Source organism: Homo sapiens, chromosome 4 (genome assembly GCF_000001405.40).
Source record: "Homo sapiens chromosome 4, GRCh38.p14 Primary Assembly".
NCBI lineage: Eukaryota > Metazoa > Chordata > Mammalia > Primates > Hominidae > Homo > Homo sapiens.
The window spans coordinates 187,956,019-187,972,090 of record NC_000004.12 but is presented as its reverse complement, the minus strand read 5'-3'; the positions used below and the strand labels follow the sequence as shown (position 1 = coordinate 187,972,090).

The 16,072-nt window shown below is 40.5% G+C and overlaps 1 long non-coding RNA gene and 1 pseudogene across 2 annotated transcripts in view; one reads left to right on the top strand and one right to left on the bottom strand.

Moving 5' to 3' along the window:
* LOC124900881 (uncharacterized) overlaps positions 1–16,072 on the top strand; it is a 50,716-nt gene that overhangs the window by 20,789 nt on the left and 13,855 nt on the right. Inside the window, exons 2-3 of one of the 2 annotated variants that reach the window (XR_007058512.1) lie at positions 11,410–11,494; positions 11,596–11,779. This is a non-coding gene — a long non-coding RNA (uncharacterized LOC124900881). The remainder of the gene's footprint in view (positions 1–11,409; positions 11,495–11,595; positions 11,780–16,072) is intronic. The other variant, XR_007058513.1, reaches the window with a different exon arrangement.
* LOC389249 (peroxiredoxin 6 pseudogene) lies at positions 611–1,883 on the bottom strand (annotated as a pseudogene).

Below are 16,072 nucleotides of genomic sequence, written 5' to 3'. Positions count from 1 at the left end.
CCTCCTGAGTAGCTGGGACTACAGGCGCCCACCACCACGCCCGGCTAATTTTTTGTATTTTTAGTAGAGACGGGGTTTCACCGTTTTAACCAGGATGGTCTGGATCTCCTGACCTCGTGATCCACCCCCCTCTGCCTCCCAAAGTGCTGGGATTACAGGTGTGAGCCACTGCGCCTGGCCACAAAAAAATTTTTTTATAGCAAAATATTTAAAGGTCTCTTCCCTTGTTCTTCAGTTATCTACTAGAAAGGTACAGAATTAAAAAGTTTTTTTTCCCCCGGCTATGATCCAAACAGTATTAAAGAACATCTGGGTTACTCTAAGTTCCTGGGTTTTATACTTGGATATTTACAGAGGAGTTGAACCTCAAGTTCTGCCACTCTTCAAAATGGGTGACTGAAGACAGGATGTAATAGGACAGTTAAAAAAATTGATAGTCATTCTCTGATGGAGGGATAGTCATTCTCTGATGGAGGGAAGCAAGCTTTCTCAACCATCAACAAATATGACCTCATTGGTCACAAGCCCTGCAGAGATCCAACAAGATTTGAGTTTTAAATACAGAACATATTTCAAAGAGAACCAGTAGAGAGTGCTGATGTATGAACAGAATTGAATGCTGGTGAAGACAGAGTGTAAAGAATCCCAAGAAACTTTTAGTGCCAGTTTTCATTTAATAAGCCAGTAGTATAGCAACCTAAAAACCTTGGTGTGATGACACCAGGATGTTTTCATGGAATTGCAGCAGGAAAACATGATTGGCAGCGGATGTCCTCTGGCTCACAGCACCAACTTCTCCAAGAGACTTAAGGCTGGGGTGTGGGGCGGAGGTATTTCTTGCCAGATGGGAGCTCCTTGGTGAAGACTCCTTTCAGGAAAAGTTTTTTGGCCTCCTCTTCAGGAATCACTGGAAGGACCATGACACTATCCCCACCTTCCAATCAACTGGGGTGGCAACCCTCTTTTCTGCTGTCAGCTGGAGAGAGGTGACTACCCTGAGAATCTCATCAAAGTTCCTGCCAGTGGTAGCCAGGTAGATGATAGACAGCTTCGGCTTCTTATCAGGACCAATAACAAACACCACACGAGCTGTCACAGGCATGTCCTTTTCATCCTTCTCCGCTGGATCCAGCATGCCCAACAGGATGAAAAGGTCCCGATTCTTATCATGGATGATGCGAAAAGGTAACTTTTCTGTGGATTCTTCACCATTGTAAGCATTGATATCCTTGCTCCAGGCAAGACGGTCCTCAACACGGTCTATCGAAAGGGTAATCCGCTAGGTGTGGTGGCTCACACCTGTAATCCCAGCACTTTGGGAGGCTGAGGTGGGCAGATCACGAGGTCAGGAGTTCAAAACCAGCCTGACCAACATGGTGAAACCCCATCTCTACTAAAGATACAAAAATTAGCTGGGCGTGGTGTCGCACACCTGTAGTCCTAGCTACTCAGGAGTCTGAGGCAGGAGAATTGCTTAAACCCAGGATGCAGAGATTGCAGTGAGCCGAGATTGCAGTGAGCCAAGAGTGCACCACTGCACTCCAGCCTGGGCGACAGAGCAAGACTCCGTCTCAAAAAAAGAAAAAGAAAAAGAAAGAAAAAAGAAAGGGCAATCAACTTAACATTCCTCTTGGCAAATTCCGGTGCCAGTTTTGCAGCTCTGCCAAGCTCTGTGGTGCACACTGGGGTAAAGTCCCGAGGGTGGGAGAAGAGAATGCCCAGTGAGTTTCCCAGAAAGTCCTGGAAACGGACGCGGCCGGCGGTGGTATTGGCCTCAAAGTTGGGAGCCACGTCCCCAAGAAGCCGACCTCCAGGCATAGCGGTGGCGGTGACGAGGAGGCACAGCTCAGACGGCAACCAACCCGGTGGTTCTGGCGAAGAAGACATTGTGTATTTACATACAAAAGTCACACGGGGTTTTAAGATAAAATAGAAGCCTTCAAAGAAAAATTAGGCCTGTGATAGCATATTTTACTGTACCACTAGAGGAAATCCTTGGAAAATTTGCCAAGCATTATAAATAGATAAGTCGCTGTGGAAGTTGAATGATGAACTAACCTTGGCATACACAAAATGAAGAGCAAAGAGCAGGTGTTAAAATTGGGATGTGGGAGGTTACAAGTTCTTCAACGCCTCAATCCAGTGAATACAATTTAATGATGTAACCGTCCATGATTTAAATAAAAAAAAATTGATAAAACCCTATTGCATCTAACAATATGTCCTATGTTAATAGGATGTTTTTTGTACATGGTGCAATGAGAATGTTTTTCCTATACTCCTAAAATTAAGATAATTGAAATTCTACTGTCAAACAAATGTTGATTTAAACATTTTTATTGCCTTTATCAAACACAGCATTGTAATACATGTTTTAAAAAAAGGTGAGCTCTAGGATGGGCGCAGTGGCTCACGCCTGTAATCCTAGCACTTTGGGAGGCCGAGGCTGGTAGATCATCTGAGGTCAAGAGTTCGAGACCAGCCTGGCCAACATGACAAAACCCTGTCTCTACTAAAAATACAAAAATTAGCCAGGTGTGGTGGTGTGAGCCTGTAATCCCAGCTGCTTGGGAGTCTGAGGCAGGAGGATCGCTTGAACCCAGGAGGTGGAGGTTGCAGTGAGGCGAGATTGTACCACTGCACTCCAGTCTGGGCGACAGAGAGAGAATCTGTCTCAAAAAAAAAAAAAAAAAGAATAAAAGAAAAAAAGGTAAGTTCTATTGCGTACAGACAGCCAATTTGCTCTTTGTTATTAGAAAAACTAGAGTGGTAGTTAGAGAATAATTATTAAGAAATGGTAAAAAAAAAAAATGTGAAAAGAAAATTTTTTACCCCAATGTTGGTTTGTTGAAAATCTCATGATTTCTGATTTCCTTTTGCTAACATAAATTTGTTTGACTGCTCTGAGATTTTTTTTTTTTTTTTGGTAAATTGATTTAAATTATTTTAATATATTTTAGCATACTGATTTATATACTGCTGATTCATCTGATGGAATGTATTGATAATTAGTATAGAGTGTGGCATATGTGTCAGTGTGAATTAACTTTAATCTACACCTTATAGATGGCTGATTAGCATTTGAACTGCCTCAATTGGCAATCTACACTTGAGAGGTAGACTCAGCAAGACTTCAAATATTGATGTCTAAATCTAAACCACAGGCATTGTGAATTAGCACAAGGAATAGAGGAAAAATGATTTCATTGGTGAAATTAGCAAACTTCTAGACATGTGATGGGAAAGAGAGGTTTTACAGGCTCTACTACCCTTGAAGAAAGGAGTTATAAGAACCTGTTTAAGACCCACATCCAAGTAGTCCCTTGGGGTCGGGCTCCCTTCAATCCTGTGATCCCACCCTCAATGGATGACTATTGAACCTCAGGAAGTTTTCTGATCCTATCAACAAAATATCATTGCATCTGCCTTGGAGTGAACCTTTTGTTTGATGTGCTTGTCAGGGCATCTGAGGACTGAGAGTGGTTAAGAGGCTATATGGCTGTCTTACTGCTTACTTGCTATTAGATATCTGTCGGAGCAACCAAGCATGTCTGAGATTTGCTTTACTTGTAAGACCACTTGGAAGCAAAGGAGTAAAGGTCAAGATTGGTAGAAACAACTGGAATCCAAGGATATCCATCATCGGTTGCTGTTGTCCAGTGAACAAATACTTTTCATATCAGTATTGAACATTTAGGTTTAAATACCCGACCACAGTTGGAGAGGCACTGCTCATCTATCTTGGTGCATGTTCCATGTGCGTTTGAAAAGTATGTGTATTTTGACATTGAGTGGAACCTTCTACCCAGACACCTTAGGTCAGGTTGGTCAAGTTACTGCCATTCAAATCTATATCCTTACTGATTTTCTGTCTGCTCTATCAATTACTGAGATGAGTGCTGAAGTCTCCAGTAACAACTGCATTTGCTGACTTCTTTCATTTTTATCAATTTTTGCTTTATTTATTTGGAAGCTCTATAATTAGTTGACATATATTTAGGGTTGCTACCTTGTCTTGATGAATTGACCCTTTTTATCATCATGTAATGTCCCTTTTTATCCCTGGTAATATTACCTATTCTGAAGTCTACTTTGTCTGATACTAATATAGCCACTCCAGTTAGTTATGATTAATATTTACATGAAATATTCAGTTTTTCCTCTTATAAAAGTCCTATAAACCTTTAGATTCTCTGTGACAAATGAACATCTCTAATGGCAGAAAATGGGGGAGTGTTTGGGTGGAATTTCAATCCCAGATATTTTACTGTCACTAAATTGTATGCCATCTATTATAATAAGTAATATATAACTTCATAGAACAGTTGTTAGAACTGTCTCAGAATCCATTTCTGAGATGTATTTTGTAAATATGAGTATGAACCTCTTCTTTTCTAAATATAATGACTCTAAATATTAAAGTCCTTATAAAAAAATACCTTTAAAATACATTCCTTTAAAATAAATTCATTTTAGGTGTTTTAAAAATGAACCTAAGGCTGGGTGCAGTGGCTCACGCCTGTAATCTCAGCACTTCGGGAGGCCAAGGTGGGCAAATCACCTGAGGTCAGGAGTTCGAGACGAGCCTGGCCAACATGGTGAAACCTCATCTCCACTAAAAATACAAAAATTAGCTGGATGTGACGGTGGGAACCTGTAATCCCAGCTACTCGGGAGGCTGAGGCGGGAGAATCGCCTGAATCCAGGTGGGAGAGGCTGCAGTGAACCGAGATGGCGCCACTGAACTCCAGCCTGGGTGACAGAGCAAGACTGTCTCAAAACAAAAAACTAACCTAATATAAAAGATATAGCCATGATATAGAAGGTATTCTTTTACACAAACTTACAAAACCTAATACTGATCCTCTTTGCTAAAACTATTGAATGGCCTTTAATATTCTCTTGTATGTTCAATAATGTATCTGTCCAGTCTAATGAAATATTGTGCCTCAATTTGTTCAGGGATAATGGTACAATAAAATGTAGGTTTAAGCATGAAAACCTTGTCAATACAATTTATTATTTTTTTTTTTGTAGGTTACAGTGCTGCAAAAAATCATGACATTTTAAAGCTGTGCTTATAAACCATCCAGCATATAACTGTGCTCCTTTCTGAGCTAAGAAAGTTATTAAAGAAAAAAAAATTAACAGTAATTACAGAAAAATATTTATTTTTAGAAGAATTGGTATTCCCGTTAATTAAAACATTATTGCTTTCATTTTTTATGAAAGCAACATTTTCATTTTGATTTAAATGCTGATGTAAAACAAACATAATTATTGCCTTTTTCTTCTAAGTCCTTAAAGTGTATCCTCTCATTCTCCCTTTGCAAAGTGGATTTACAAGTAAACAGCGTTGGTTTATTTCTTCTTCTCTAAGGAATTTTGATCACAGTACCAGAACTTTTTAAATCTATTAGTAGGCGGCAACAAAAGGAGGTTAAAAACCACAAAATACAAAAATATGTTGATATGTTGTAACAAGGGTGTTTAAAATAAAATTCTTTTTTTTTCTTTTTCATTTTTTCTTTTTTTAAGAGACAAGGTCTCACTCTGCTTAGAGTGTAGTGGTGCCATCATAGCTCACTGTAGCTTCAACTTCCTGGTTCAAGGGATCCTCCCTCCTCAGCCTCCAGGGTAGCTGGGACTTCAGGTGTGCACCACAGTGCCCAGCTAATTTTTAATTTTTCTGGAGACAGACTCTTGCTACGTTACCCTGGCTGGTCTCAAAATCCTGGCCTCAAGTGATTCTCCCACCTCAGTCTCCCAAAGTGCTGGGATTACAGGCATGAGCCACTGTGCCTGGCCTTAAAATGAGATTATCGGAGTGGCTAGGCTTTTGGACAGAGAAAGATGAATACCCTTAAATGTCTTTATTTCAAGCAGAGAACCACTAAGAAACAAAACCAAACAAAAAAATCAATTGCTTTATGGGTTTGTCAAGAGTTTAGCTCTGTTAGGGCAGCCACAGTGAGAAAGTTCAGCTACTAGGTCATAGAATGGCAAAGATAAGCTATTGGGGATTAGATGCTGGTGGTGGACTAGAGACCCATAATGCTAACGAGGCGTTGAAGGTCAAGTCTCTCATAAGGCAGCAAAGGGTAGGCAGGTCCGCAGACAGCGAAGGACTGAGATCTGCACGCGAAGAGGTCATCTTAGGCCTTCCGAGGTAGAATAAAACAATCGGAATGTTACAGCTGGGAGGGAAAAGCATTATCTTAACACAAACAATAAGCACATTGTTCATGAGTTTAGAGGAGAGATTGTCCCATAAAAAGAAGACACTCTGTATCACAGTATTAACTGAGGAAAGAAATGGAAAATGTCATGCAATTAGACAGCCACAAATGAGATGTTACATTAAACTTGAATATTACCCACAAGATACTGAGCATGATGTGTTTAAGCATTAATGTCCTAAGCTACTCGTGCTGGAAGAACATTCACGGTATTATACCTGATGTGCCAGAGTACTGCATAAAAGAGGCCCCTTTTCATTTCTAATGAGCAGCCGAAAGTGGCAAAGGGTTGTAGAATCTCTCATACACCATTTCAAGTTTCCAGTGATATTCATTTCTGTGGAAAGGGTGCAGCGAAACCAGCATTTGTTTTGATGGGACAGAAAATTGCAGCAATCTATATCCAATGGCAGACACGATGGTAAAGATATGTTGGAGGCAATAAAGCCACAGAAGCCAATGGATCAAACCTCTGTGCACAAAGATTGTATTTTGAGCAGTATTATAGGGCCAAGATGATAGCTCTTAAACTGCCCTCATGCATTGCTTCTTTTCTTTTTCTTCCTTTTTTTGAGAGAGGGTCTCACTCTACCATCCAGGCTGGAGTGCAGAGGTGCCATCTCAGCTCACTGCAGCCTCAACCTGGAGAGCTCAAGCGATCCTCCCACCTCAGCTACTTGAGTAGCTGGGACCACAGGTGCATGCCACCACAGCCAGCTAGGCTAGCCTTGAACTCTTGGGCTCAGGCGAGCCTCCCACCTTGGCCTCCTGAAGTGCTGGGATTACAGGCACGCACCACTGCACCTGGCCTCATGTATTGCTTCTAGTTTCCCTGTACGATATGCATCTTTCCCCAGTCTTATCCCCAGAGCATTTTGCCCCCAACAAAATAGCCTAGTGAGGAATATGACTGCATCCCACCGACCTCAATTATCGGCCTACGGGGTGGGCGTTCAGGCCAACCAGGGCCAGCCAGGGCTTTTCCGGGCATCTTTCTTCTGTGTTGCTTAGCTGGGAGACTGTAAATTTGTTGTCACCAGCACTCGCTTTTCCTGTCATTGGAAAAAGTCAATCTACATAAAGCCAAGCAGAGATGTGAGGTGGATGCACCAGATAACAGCTCCTGGCCATACTGAACTCTGCCTTCCAAGCCTCGATTTTTGGCAGGGCTTCTTCCAGTTTTGTGAGCTTCATCAGTATTCCTTTTAGTCCTGCAAACCAACCAACTTCCATTCTATTGCTTGAACTGGTTTAATGTATATTTCTATCCTGCGCTGTCTAAGGAGTCCTGAATAATATAGAAAGGAAGCAAAGATGGAAAAAAGAGCATATAGAATTGACCAGCATGAAGGTTATTTTGTTATAACTAGAGTAGCTAAGTATTGTTACTAGCTTCTTAGAATGAAGGAACTATAAGTTGAGATTATAAATAACTTTAAATCCAGTCTATTTATTGTGGAAGATGGCATGCAAGAAGCTGTACATAACCGTCAATACAGAGACAGTGTTCAGAATTCTCAAGTCTTTTTGCCCCAATTAAAGCACCCCAGTCATGCATTGTAATAAGAGATGAATACTACTTGAATATTGTTATTAAGGTTCCAGTAATTATAATGATCGAAACAAGATTATCATAAAAATTTCTCACTGAGTGTAGGACACGTCACCTGGGTGGGATTGATCCTAGGCTCCAGCAAAGTTAATCCAGCTCCTTTGCATAATTTGAAGATTTCAGGACAGCTTTTTGATAAATTGTTCCCTTGTGTAGTAACATTCTCTCTCTCTCTCTAGCTATATATATATTTATAAAATATATGCCAATCAATAAATATTTGAGTCTTTATCTGAAAGTAGGAGAAAAGCTTATAGGCTATCTGATATGACCTGCCTCCCACTGTGGACCTCTCCTTGGCGAGCTTTCTCTCAGGTGGTTAGCCAGCATCAGGCCAGCACCAGCTTGAAAGCTGACATTGACTGGGCTGTTGCTGTCTCAGAGAATGTCTTACTGCTGCTGGAGAACCTTAATTGTCTCTCCTATATTGAGTACAAGGTTAGCACATTAAATTTGACATGTATTATATTAACTGGCTCATAGCAGATAGACAGTTAACACTTCGAAAGACTGGGAAACAAACAGGTTACATTCTCAGTGAGGAAGTAAAATTTTTAAATGATTAGAAGTTGAGATGCTTCCAAGGAGACCATACACATTTAGTCTCCCCTTTGCTTGCTCAGAGAACAATATTATAATTACAGAATTCATTACAGAATTACAATATTGTTCTCTGAGCAACCAAAGGCTAGTCACCGGGTGACTGCTAGTTCCCCAAGAACCGGAAGGGTAACTGTTCATACAGAACATATTCTGACAATTTCACTTTTTTTTTTTAGCTCATATCATTTCTGAGTATGGGCATGTAAGTTATAATTATTCTCATCATTCATTTCATTATTACCCTTGTAATAAATGAACATCTACTCCCGTGTGACCCCAGTCCTTTCTTCTCTGTTTGTCAAGAGGATTGTAGCTAGACAGAATGAGGGAAGGGAAAGAAAAGCTAAACAGCCAGGGCATTTGGCAGAAACCTTTGAAACTGGATGTTCAGAGGTTTTGCTTGCTAGTTGAATGAATAAAGCTAAAGAAAGAAAACTCACAACATTTAAAAAAGGGAGGTTTAAGGGAAGACTCCAGATGTTTCCTGCTGGAATAGACTTCCGTCTTGTGGGATGAAGCTGATCCTGGCATTCTTTTCTTCTGTTTCTGTCTCTGTAAGTTCATTCTCTCTATGTAGCTGTGTTTATGCTCACAGGAAAACTGTAGAGCTTCAGACACGAGAAAGGCATTTGCTTGATTTTTTTGGGTTCCAAACAAACAAATCTGGAAAAGGGCTTTCTTGATACAGTTTAGCCTAAGTTCCCATCGCAAATCCAGTCGACAAGGACTGAAGTATTGTGATTAGCCCGGCTACAGTCAGTTGCCCATACTGCTGTCTTTGAATTCTGGCCAGGGTTTTGGGTTTTCAAAGAACACAGTAGCACCTGTGAGCCGCATTAGAATGGGAGGGGAAGGGAGTGCAGTTCCCAGGGGAGTGAGACAACTTACTGGGTGCCCACTACAGAAAATGGTAGGTTTAACCTTGTACTAGTTCCACGAGAGAAATAAGGAGAGACACCCTCTCAGTAAGTAGTATATTGTGGAACAGTTGGGAAACTGCATTCTTTGTTAGCATAACATAAACAGAAAGTTTAACAATCTTCAGAAAATCCATTTGATTAAACACTTTGCCTGGAAAACGCCACACATACCCAATTCTACAGAGATAAAATGTTTTTGGAAAATTTTCTCCAGCGTCCACTTTCCTCTCATTTTCAAACCGTTCCTTTTGTGTGGAACGTCTCCCACTTTCCCACTGAGCTAGCGGGTGATTTCTCCTCAAGATACAGATTTGGTATCATTTCCTTCAGGAGTTGCTACTGATTTATCTTCTTCCCACATGATCATGTTTTTATAACACCCTGTGCATATTTTTATACCATTTATTACATAGTAATATGATTGTATGTTTATATGCTGGTCTTTAGATTATTATTAGACTCGTGAGATCTTTAAAAAGAGAATTATATCTTATTTGTCTGTAATCTGTTGTCCTTAACACTAAGAAAAATCATTCCATAAATATTTGTTGAATAAGCACTTTTCTCTTTCAGTATTCTAGACAATTATTGCCCTATTTAGTTTGAATTCTTCTTATTCTAATTCTTCAACTAAAATACCACTTTGGCAATAATAAACTTAGTTATTGAGAAGACAAATCCTATTTAAATTCAATATCTTTTTTTTTTTTTTTTGAGATGAAGTTTTGCTCCGTAGCCCAGGCTGGGATGCAGTGGCGCGATCTTGGCTCACTGCAACCTCCGCTTCCCGGGTCCCAGTTCAAGCAATTCTCCTGCCTCAACCTCCTGAGTAGCTGGGATTACAGGAAGGCGCCACCATGCCCAATCAACTTTTGTATTTTTAGTAGAGACGGGGTTTCACCATGTTGGTCAGGCTGGTCTCGAACTCCTGACCTTGTGATTCACCCGCCTCGGCCTCTCAAAGTGCTGGGATTACAGGCGTCAGCCACCGCACCCAGCCAAATTCAATATCTCTTTAACTATTATTGCTTTTACAATATTTTCCCCCATTTGTCTAATTTTATAGGTGAAGGTTTTAGTTCAGATATTCATGTTTATGAGTATTATTAAAAAGGATAAATGGATTTGTACTTTGATGCTAGAAAACATTAACACAAATATGAATATAAAAGCACCAGTTTCATTTAAATTCCAGAAATAAACCAGAAACATTTCTTTTTTCAGGATTGTTATTGCGTAGATTAAGCTATGTAATTCACAGTAAATTGCAAAACAAAGTATCATTTAGTGAAGTAAAGCAGCAGCATTTCCAATGCCGGATCATTGCAGGGCTGGCCTTAAGGGAGTGGGGATAATGTCACCATTGTTTTCTGTCTTCAGTGTTACCTCAGATTTGAACTGTGGAACAAGGGATTATTCAGAGTATATCTTCAAAACAGATACAATAAACATATTACTCTATTATAAAGACAGCCCCTATTATATATTTTTTGAAGTACAATTTAAAGAGATAAGGGGTCAAATGTTTTTTAGTTCTAGAATTTCATACAAGATAAATATTTATATTTTGGACTTGTTTTTTTCCATTTCACATATTGCTGGATCTAGTTTGTTACTTTTTTTTTTTTTTTTTTTCTTTTTTTGGAGATGGAGTCTCGCTCTGTCACCCAGGCTGGAGTGCAGTGGTGTGATCTCGGCTCACCGCAACCTTCGCCTCCCAGGTTCAAGCAATTCTTCCTGCCTCAGCCTCCTGAGTAGCTGGGACCACAGGCGCATGCCGCCATGCCTGGCTAATTGTTGTGTATTTTAGTAGAGACGGGGTTTCACAATGTTGCTCAGGCTGGTGTCGAACTCCTGAGCTCAGGCAATCCGCCCGCCTCTGCCTCCCAAAGTGCTGGGATTACAGGCGTGAGCCACTGCGCCCGGCCTTTTTTGTTATTGTTATGTGTAGTTTTGCGGGGGGATTTCTAATCTGAATTAGTGACTAAAATTGGCTGCTAGTTTTTGAAACTGTCATTTTCTGGCCTTTGCATAGGTTGTTTGACTTTTGCGATGATCAGTTTCACATATCCACTTGGCCAGTCGCTGGTACCCGGTTATTCCATCAAACACTAAATCAGGTGATGCTGTGAAGGTATTCTGTGGCTGTGACCGAATTCTACAATCAGTCGACATTACTTAAGAAGATTATTGTAAAATATTTATTGTCTCACTATTCTAGATTATCCTGGGTGAGACTGATTCAATCAGCTGAAAGACCTCAGGAGCGGAACTGAGGCTTCCCTGAGAAAACATAAATTCTGCCTATGGACAGCAATTTCAGTTCACCCCTAAAATCCCACCCTCCTCTTTCTGATGGCCTGTGCTGTGGACTTCCGATGTGCCTTGCCAGCGCCCACAATCATGTAAGTCAGTTCCCTGCAATCAACCTCTAAGTGTACATCTCCTACTCATTTTGTTTCTCTGGTTAAACCCTGATGGATACATCCTTTATAAAATGAGTTTCAGGGTAACCATTTTTTTTATTCTTTGAACTAATTTGTGTAAGATTGCAATTAAAAGTTGGTAGAACTTGCCTTTAAAGCTCTCTGGGCGTTGTCAGTCATATAACTAATAAGAGATTGATAGCTATACAGAATAGATAAAGAACTCCCACATCTCAACAACACAAATATCAAACAGCCTAATTAAAAATAGGTAAAGAACACACATTGACATTTCTTCAGTGAAGATACACAAATAATCAATAGGCACGTGCAAGGATGTTCAACATTACTAAATTAGGGAAGTGCACATCAAAACTACAGTGAGATACCACTCTATACCCATTAGGATAGCTACTATCAAAACCCAGAAAATAACAAGTGTTCAAAGGAAGTGGAGACATTGGAATCCCTGTGCACTGTTGGTAGGAATGTACGATGGTACAGCTACTGTGGAAAACTATATGGCCATTCCTTAAAAAGTTAAACACAGAATAACCACATGATCCAGCAATTCCACTCCGAGTATACATCCAAAAAAAGTGAAAGCAGGGACCCAAACAAATATTTGTACACCCATGTTCATAATAGCATTATTCACAATAGCCAAAAGGTGAAAGCTGCCCAAGTGCCCACTGACAGGTGCATGGATATACAAAATATAGAATATACAGATAATGGAATATCACTCACCCTTTAAAGGAAAGAACATTTTGAGACATGCCACAACACAATGGATATACCTTGAAGACATTATGCTAAGTGAAATAGGCCAGTCACAAAAGCACAGATGTTGCAGGAGTCCATTCATAAAAAGTTCCTAGAGTAGTGAGATTCATAGAGAGAGTAGAATAGGGGTTGTCAGAGGCTGGGAGACGGGAGGTTGGGAGTTGGTGTTTAATGGGTACAGAGTTTCAGTTGGGAGAGCTGGAAAAGTTCTGGATGGTGGTATACTTGCACAACAATGCGAATGTGTCTAATGCCACAGAAATGTACACTTAAAAAGGATTCAATTATAACTTTTCTTTTTTGAGATGGAGTTTCGCTCTTGTCACCCAGGCTGGAGTGCAATGGCACAATCTCGGCTCACTACAACCTCTGCTTCCCGGGTTCAAGCGATTCTCCTGCCTCAGCCTCCCGAGTAGCTGGGATTACAGGCATGTGCCACCACGCCCGGCTAATTTTGTATTTTTAGTAGAGACAGGGTTTCTCCATGTTGGTCAGGCTGGTCTCAAACTCCTGACCTCAGATGATCCGCCTGCCTCAGCCTCCCAAAGTGCTGGGATTATAGGTGTGATCCTGTACCCGGCCACCGCACCCAGCCAAATGGTAACTTTTCTTACGTATTTTACCACAGTAAAAAAACAAAAAACAAAACAAAACAAAAAGCCTTTTGAGTCTAATTTTTTCATTGTGATAAGTTTCTCAAAAATTCCACATTTCCTAATGGTCATGGGACTACCCAGACATTATATTTCTTTTTGTTGTTTCGCTACCCCCTTACTAATATTAATAAAGTTAAAAACAATTTTATTTTATTAGTCTTCTCAAGGAATTAGTGTTGCCCCACTGTCTCTGCTAATTATATCTTGGCTTTATATTTTATTAATTTCTGATTTTAGTGTTATCTTCTTTCTTTTACTCTCTTTAGGTTATTTCTTCTTCTTCACTTAACTTCTAAATTTGGACATTTAAAGTAATTTACTTACAGTCTCTGATTCTTTTCTCATCTCTGTATTTGTTCCTGTGTTTGCTTTTTTTGAGACAAGGTCTGGCTCTGTCACTCAGGCTGGAGTGCATTTGCACCATCTTGGCTCACTGCAGCTTCTGCCTCCCAGGCTCAAGCCATCCTCTGACCTCAGCCTCCTGAGTAGCTGGAACTACAGGCACACGCCACCATGCCTGGCTAAGTTTTGTATTTTTTGTAGAGATGGGGTTTCACGGTATTGTCCAGGCTGGTCTCAAACATGTGAGCTCAAGTGAGCCACCCTCCTTTGCCTCCCAAAGTGCTGGGATTACAGACGTGAAGCACCACACCTGGCTTGTTGGCTTCTTTTGAGACAGGGTCTTGCTCTGTCACCGAGGCTGGAGTGCAGTGGTGCAAACTTGGCTCATTTCAGCCGCAACCTTGTGGGCTCAAGCAATCCTCCCACCTCAACCTCCCGAGTAGCTGGGACCACAGGCACATGCCACAATACCCGGCTAGCTTTATTTTTATTTTTTAATTTTTTTTTGTGGAGACAGGGTCTCACTCTCTTGCCCAGGCTGGTCTCGAACTTCTGGACTCAAGCAATCCTTCTGCCTTGGCCTTCCAAAGTGCTGGGATTACAGGCGTGAGCCACTGCACCTGGCCTCGTCGCTGCGTTTGAGTGCATGAGTCTGCCTTTAAAGTCTGCTTTTGGCTGCATCCCACCAGTTTAGATATGTATTCTCATTATTTTTATTCCCACCAGTTTAGATATGTATTCTTGTTTTTATTTGTTTGTTTTAGAGATGGGGGTCTCACTATGTTGCTCACACTGGTCTTGAACTCCTCACCTCCCAAACTATTGGGATTACAGGTGTTAGGCACTACATCTGGGCCTAAATATATATTATTTTAAATGTGATGGAAGAGCAAACAATTTTCTTATTTTCTCTGTTAATAAAACTTTACCGTTTTCTCTGGGAAATTCATTCCCCAGAAAGATAAGTCTGCAAACCAATAAATAACTTCACTACTTGCTTTAGGAAATTATTTCAAATCAATTTATGTGGGCAAATAATTTGTTTGTCAGAAAAAAATCCTTTGCTTATTAGGAAAAACAGCTTGATTCTCACCAAAACATTGTGTTCATCAATACTAAAAGACCTTGCCTTGCTTTCTCCACCAGTCCCGAAACACATGTCACAAGGTTTGTCCAGTTCCAACAAGTTCCTGGATAGAAAGTTCTACCTTAAACTATTTGAGCCCAGACTACAAAATCATATACCCTTCCTGAAGTCTTCTAGTTTGGAGGCACTGTCTTGTTTCAGCTCACTATTTTTTCTGTAGGCCCCTGGAACTTTCCCTTACAATTTCCAAAGACCAGCCATTCATTAAAAGATAGTTTGTGTCTTTTATCTAGTGTCTATATTACTGAATAGAAAATTTTTAATTTAATTTTTAAAAATTATTATTATACTTTAAGTTCTAGGGTACATATGCACAACGTGCAGGTTTGTTACATAGGTATACGTGTGCCATGTTGATTTGCTGCACCCATTAACTTGTCATTTACATTAGGTATTTCTCCTAATGCTATCCCTCTCCTCTCCCTCCACCCGACGACAGGCCCCGGTGTTTGATGTTCCCCACTCTGTGTCCAAGTGTTCTCATTGTTCAGTTCCCACCTATGAGTAAGAACATGTGATGTTTGGTTTTCTGTCCTTGTGATAGTTTGCTGAGAATGATGGTTTCCAGCTTCATCCATGTCCCTGCAAAGGACATGAACTCATCTTTTTTTATGGCTGCATAGTATTCCATGGCATATATGTAGCACGTTTTCTTTTTTTCTAAGTCTTTTCTTAATTATTATACTTTAAGTTCTAGGGTACATGTGCACAACGTGCAGCTTTGTTACATATGTATACATGTGCCATATTGGTGTGCTGCACCCATTAACTCGTCATTTACATTAGGTATATCTCCTAATGCTATCCTTCCCCCCACCCCCCACCACATGACAGGCCCTGGTATGTGATGTTCCCCACCCTGTGTCCAAGTGTTCTCATTGTTCAATTCCCACCTATGAGTGAGAACATGCGGTGTTTGGTTTTCTGTCCTTGCAATAGTTTGCTCAGAATGATGGTTTCCAGTTTCATCCATGTCCCTACAAAGGACATGACCTCATCCTTTTTCATGGCTGCATAGTATTCCATGGTGTATATGTGTCACATTTTCTTAATCCAGTCTATCATTGTTGGACATTTGGGTTGGTTCCAAGTCTTTGCTATTGTGAATAGTGCCGCAATAAACATACGTGTGCATGTGTCTTTATAGCAGCATGATTTATAATCCTTTGGGTATATACCCAGTAATGGGATGGCTGGGTCAAATGCTATTTCTAGTTCTAGATCCTTGAGGATTCGCCACACTGTCTTCCACAATGGTTGTACTAGTTTACAGTCCCACCAACAGTGTAAAAGTGTTCCTATTTCTCCACATCCTCTCCAGCACCTGTGGTTTCCTGACTT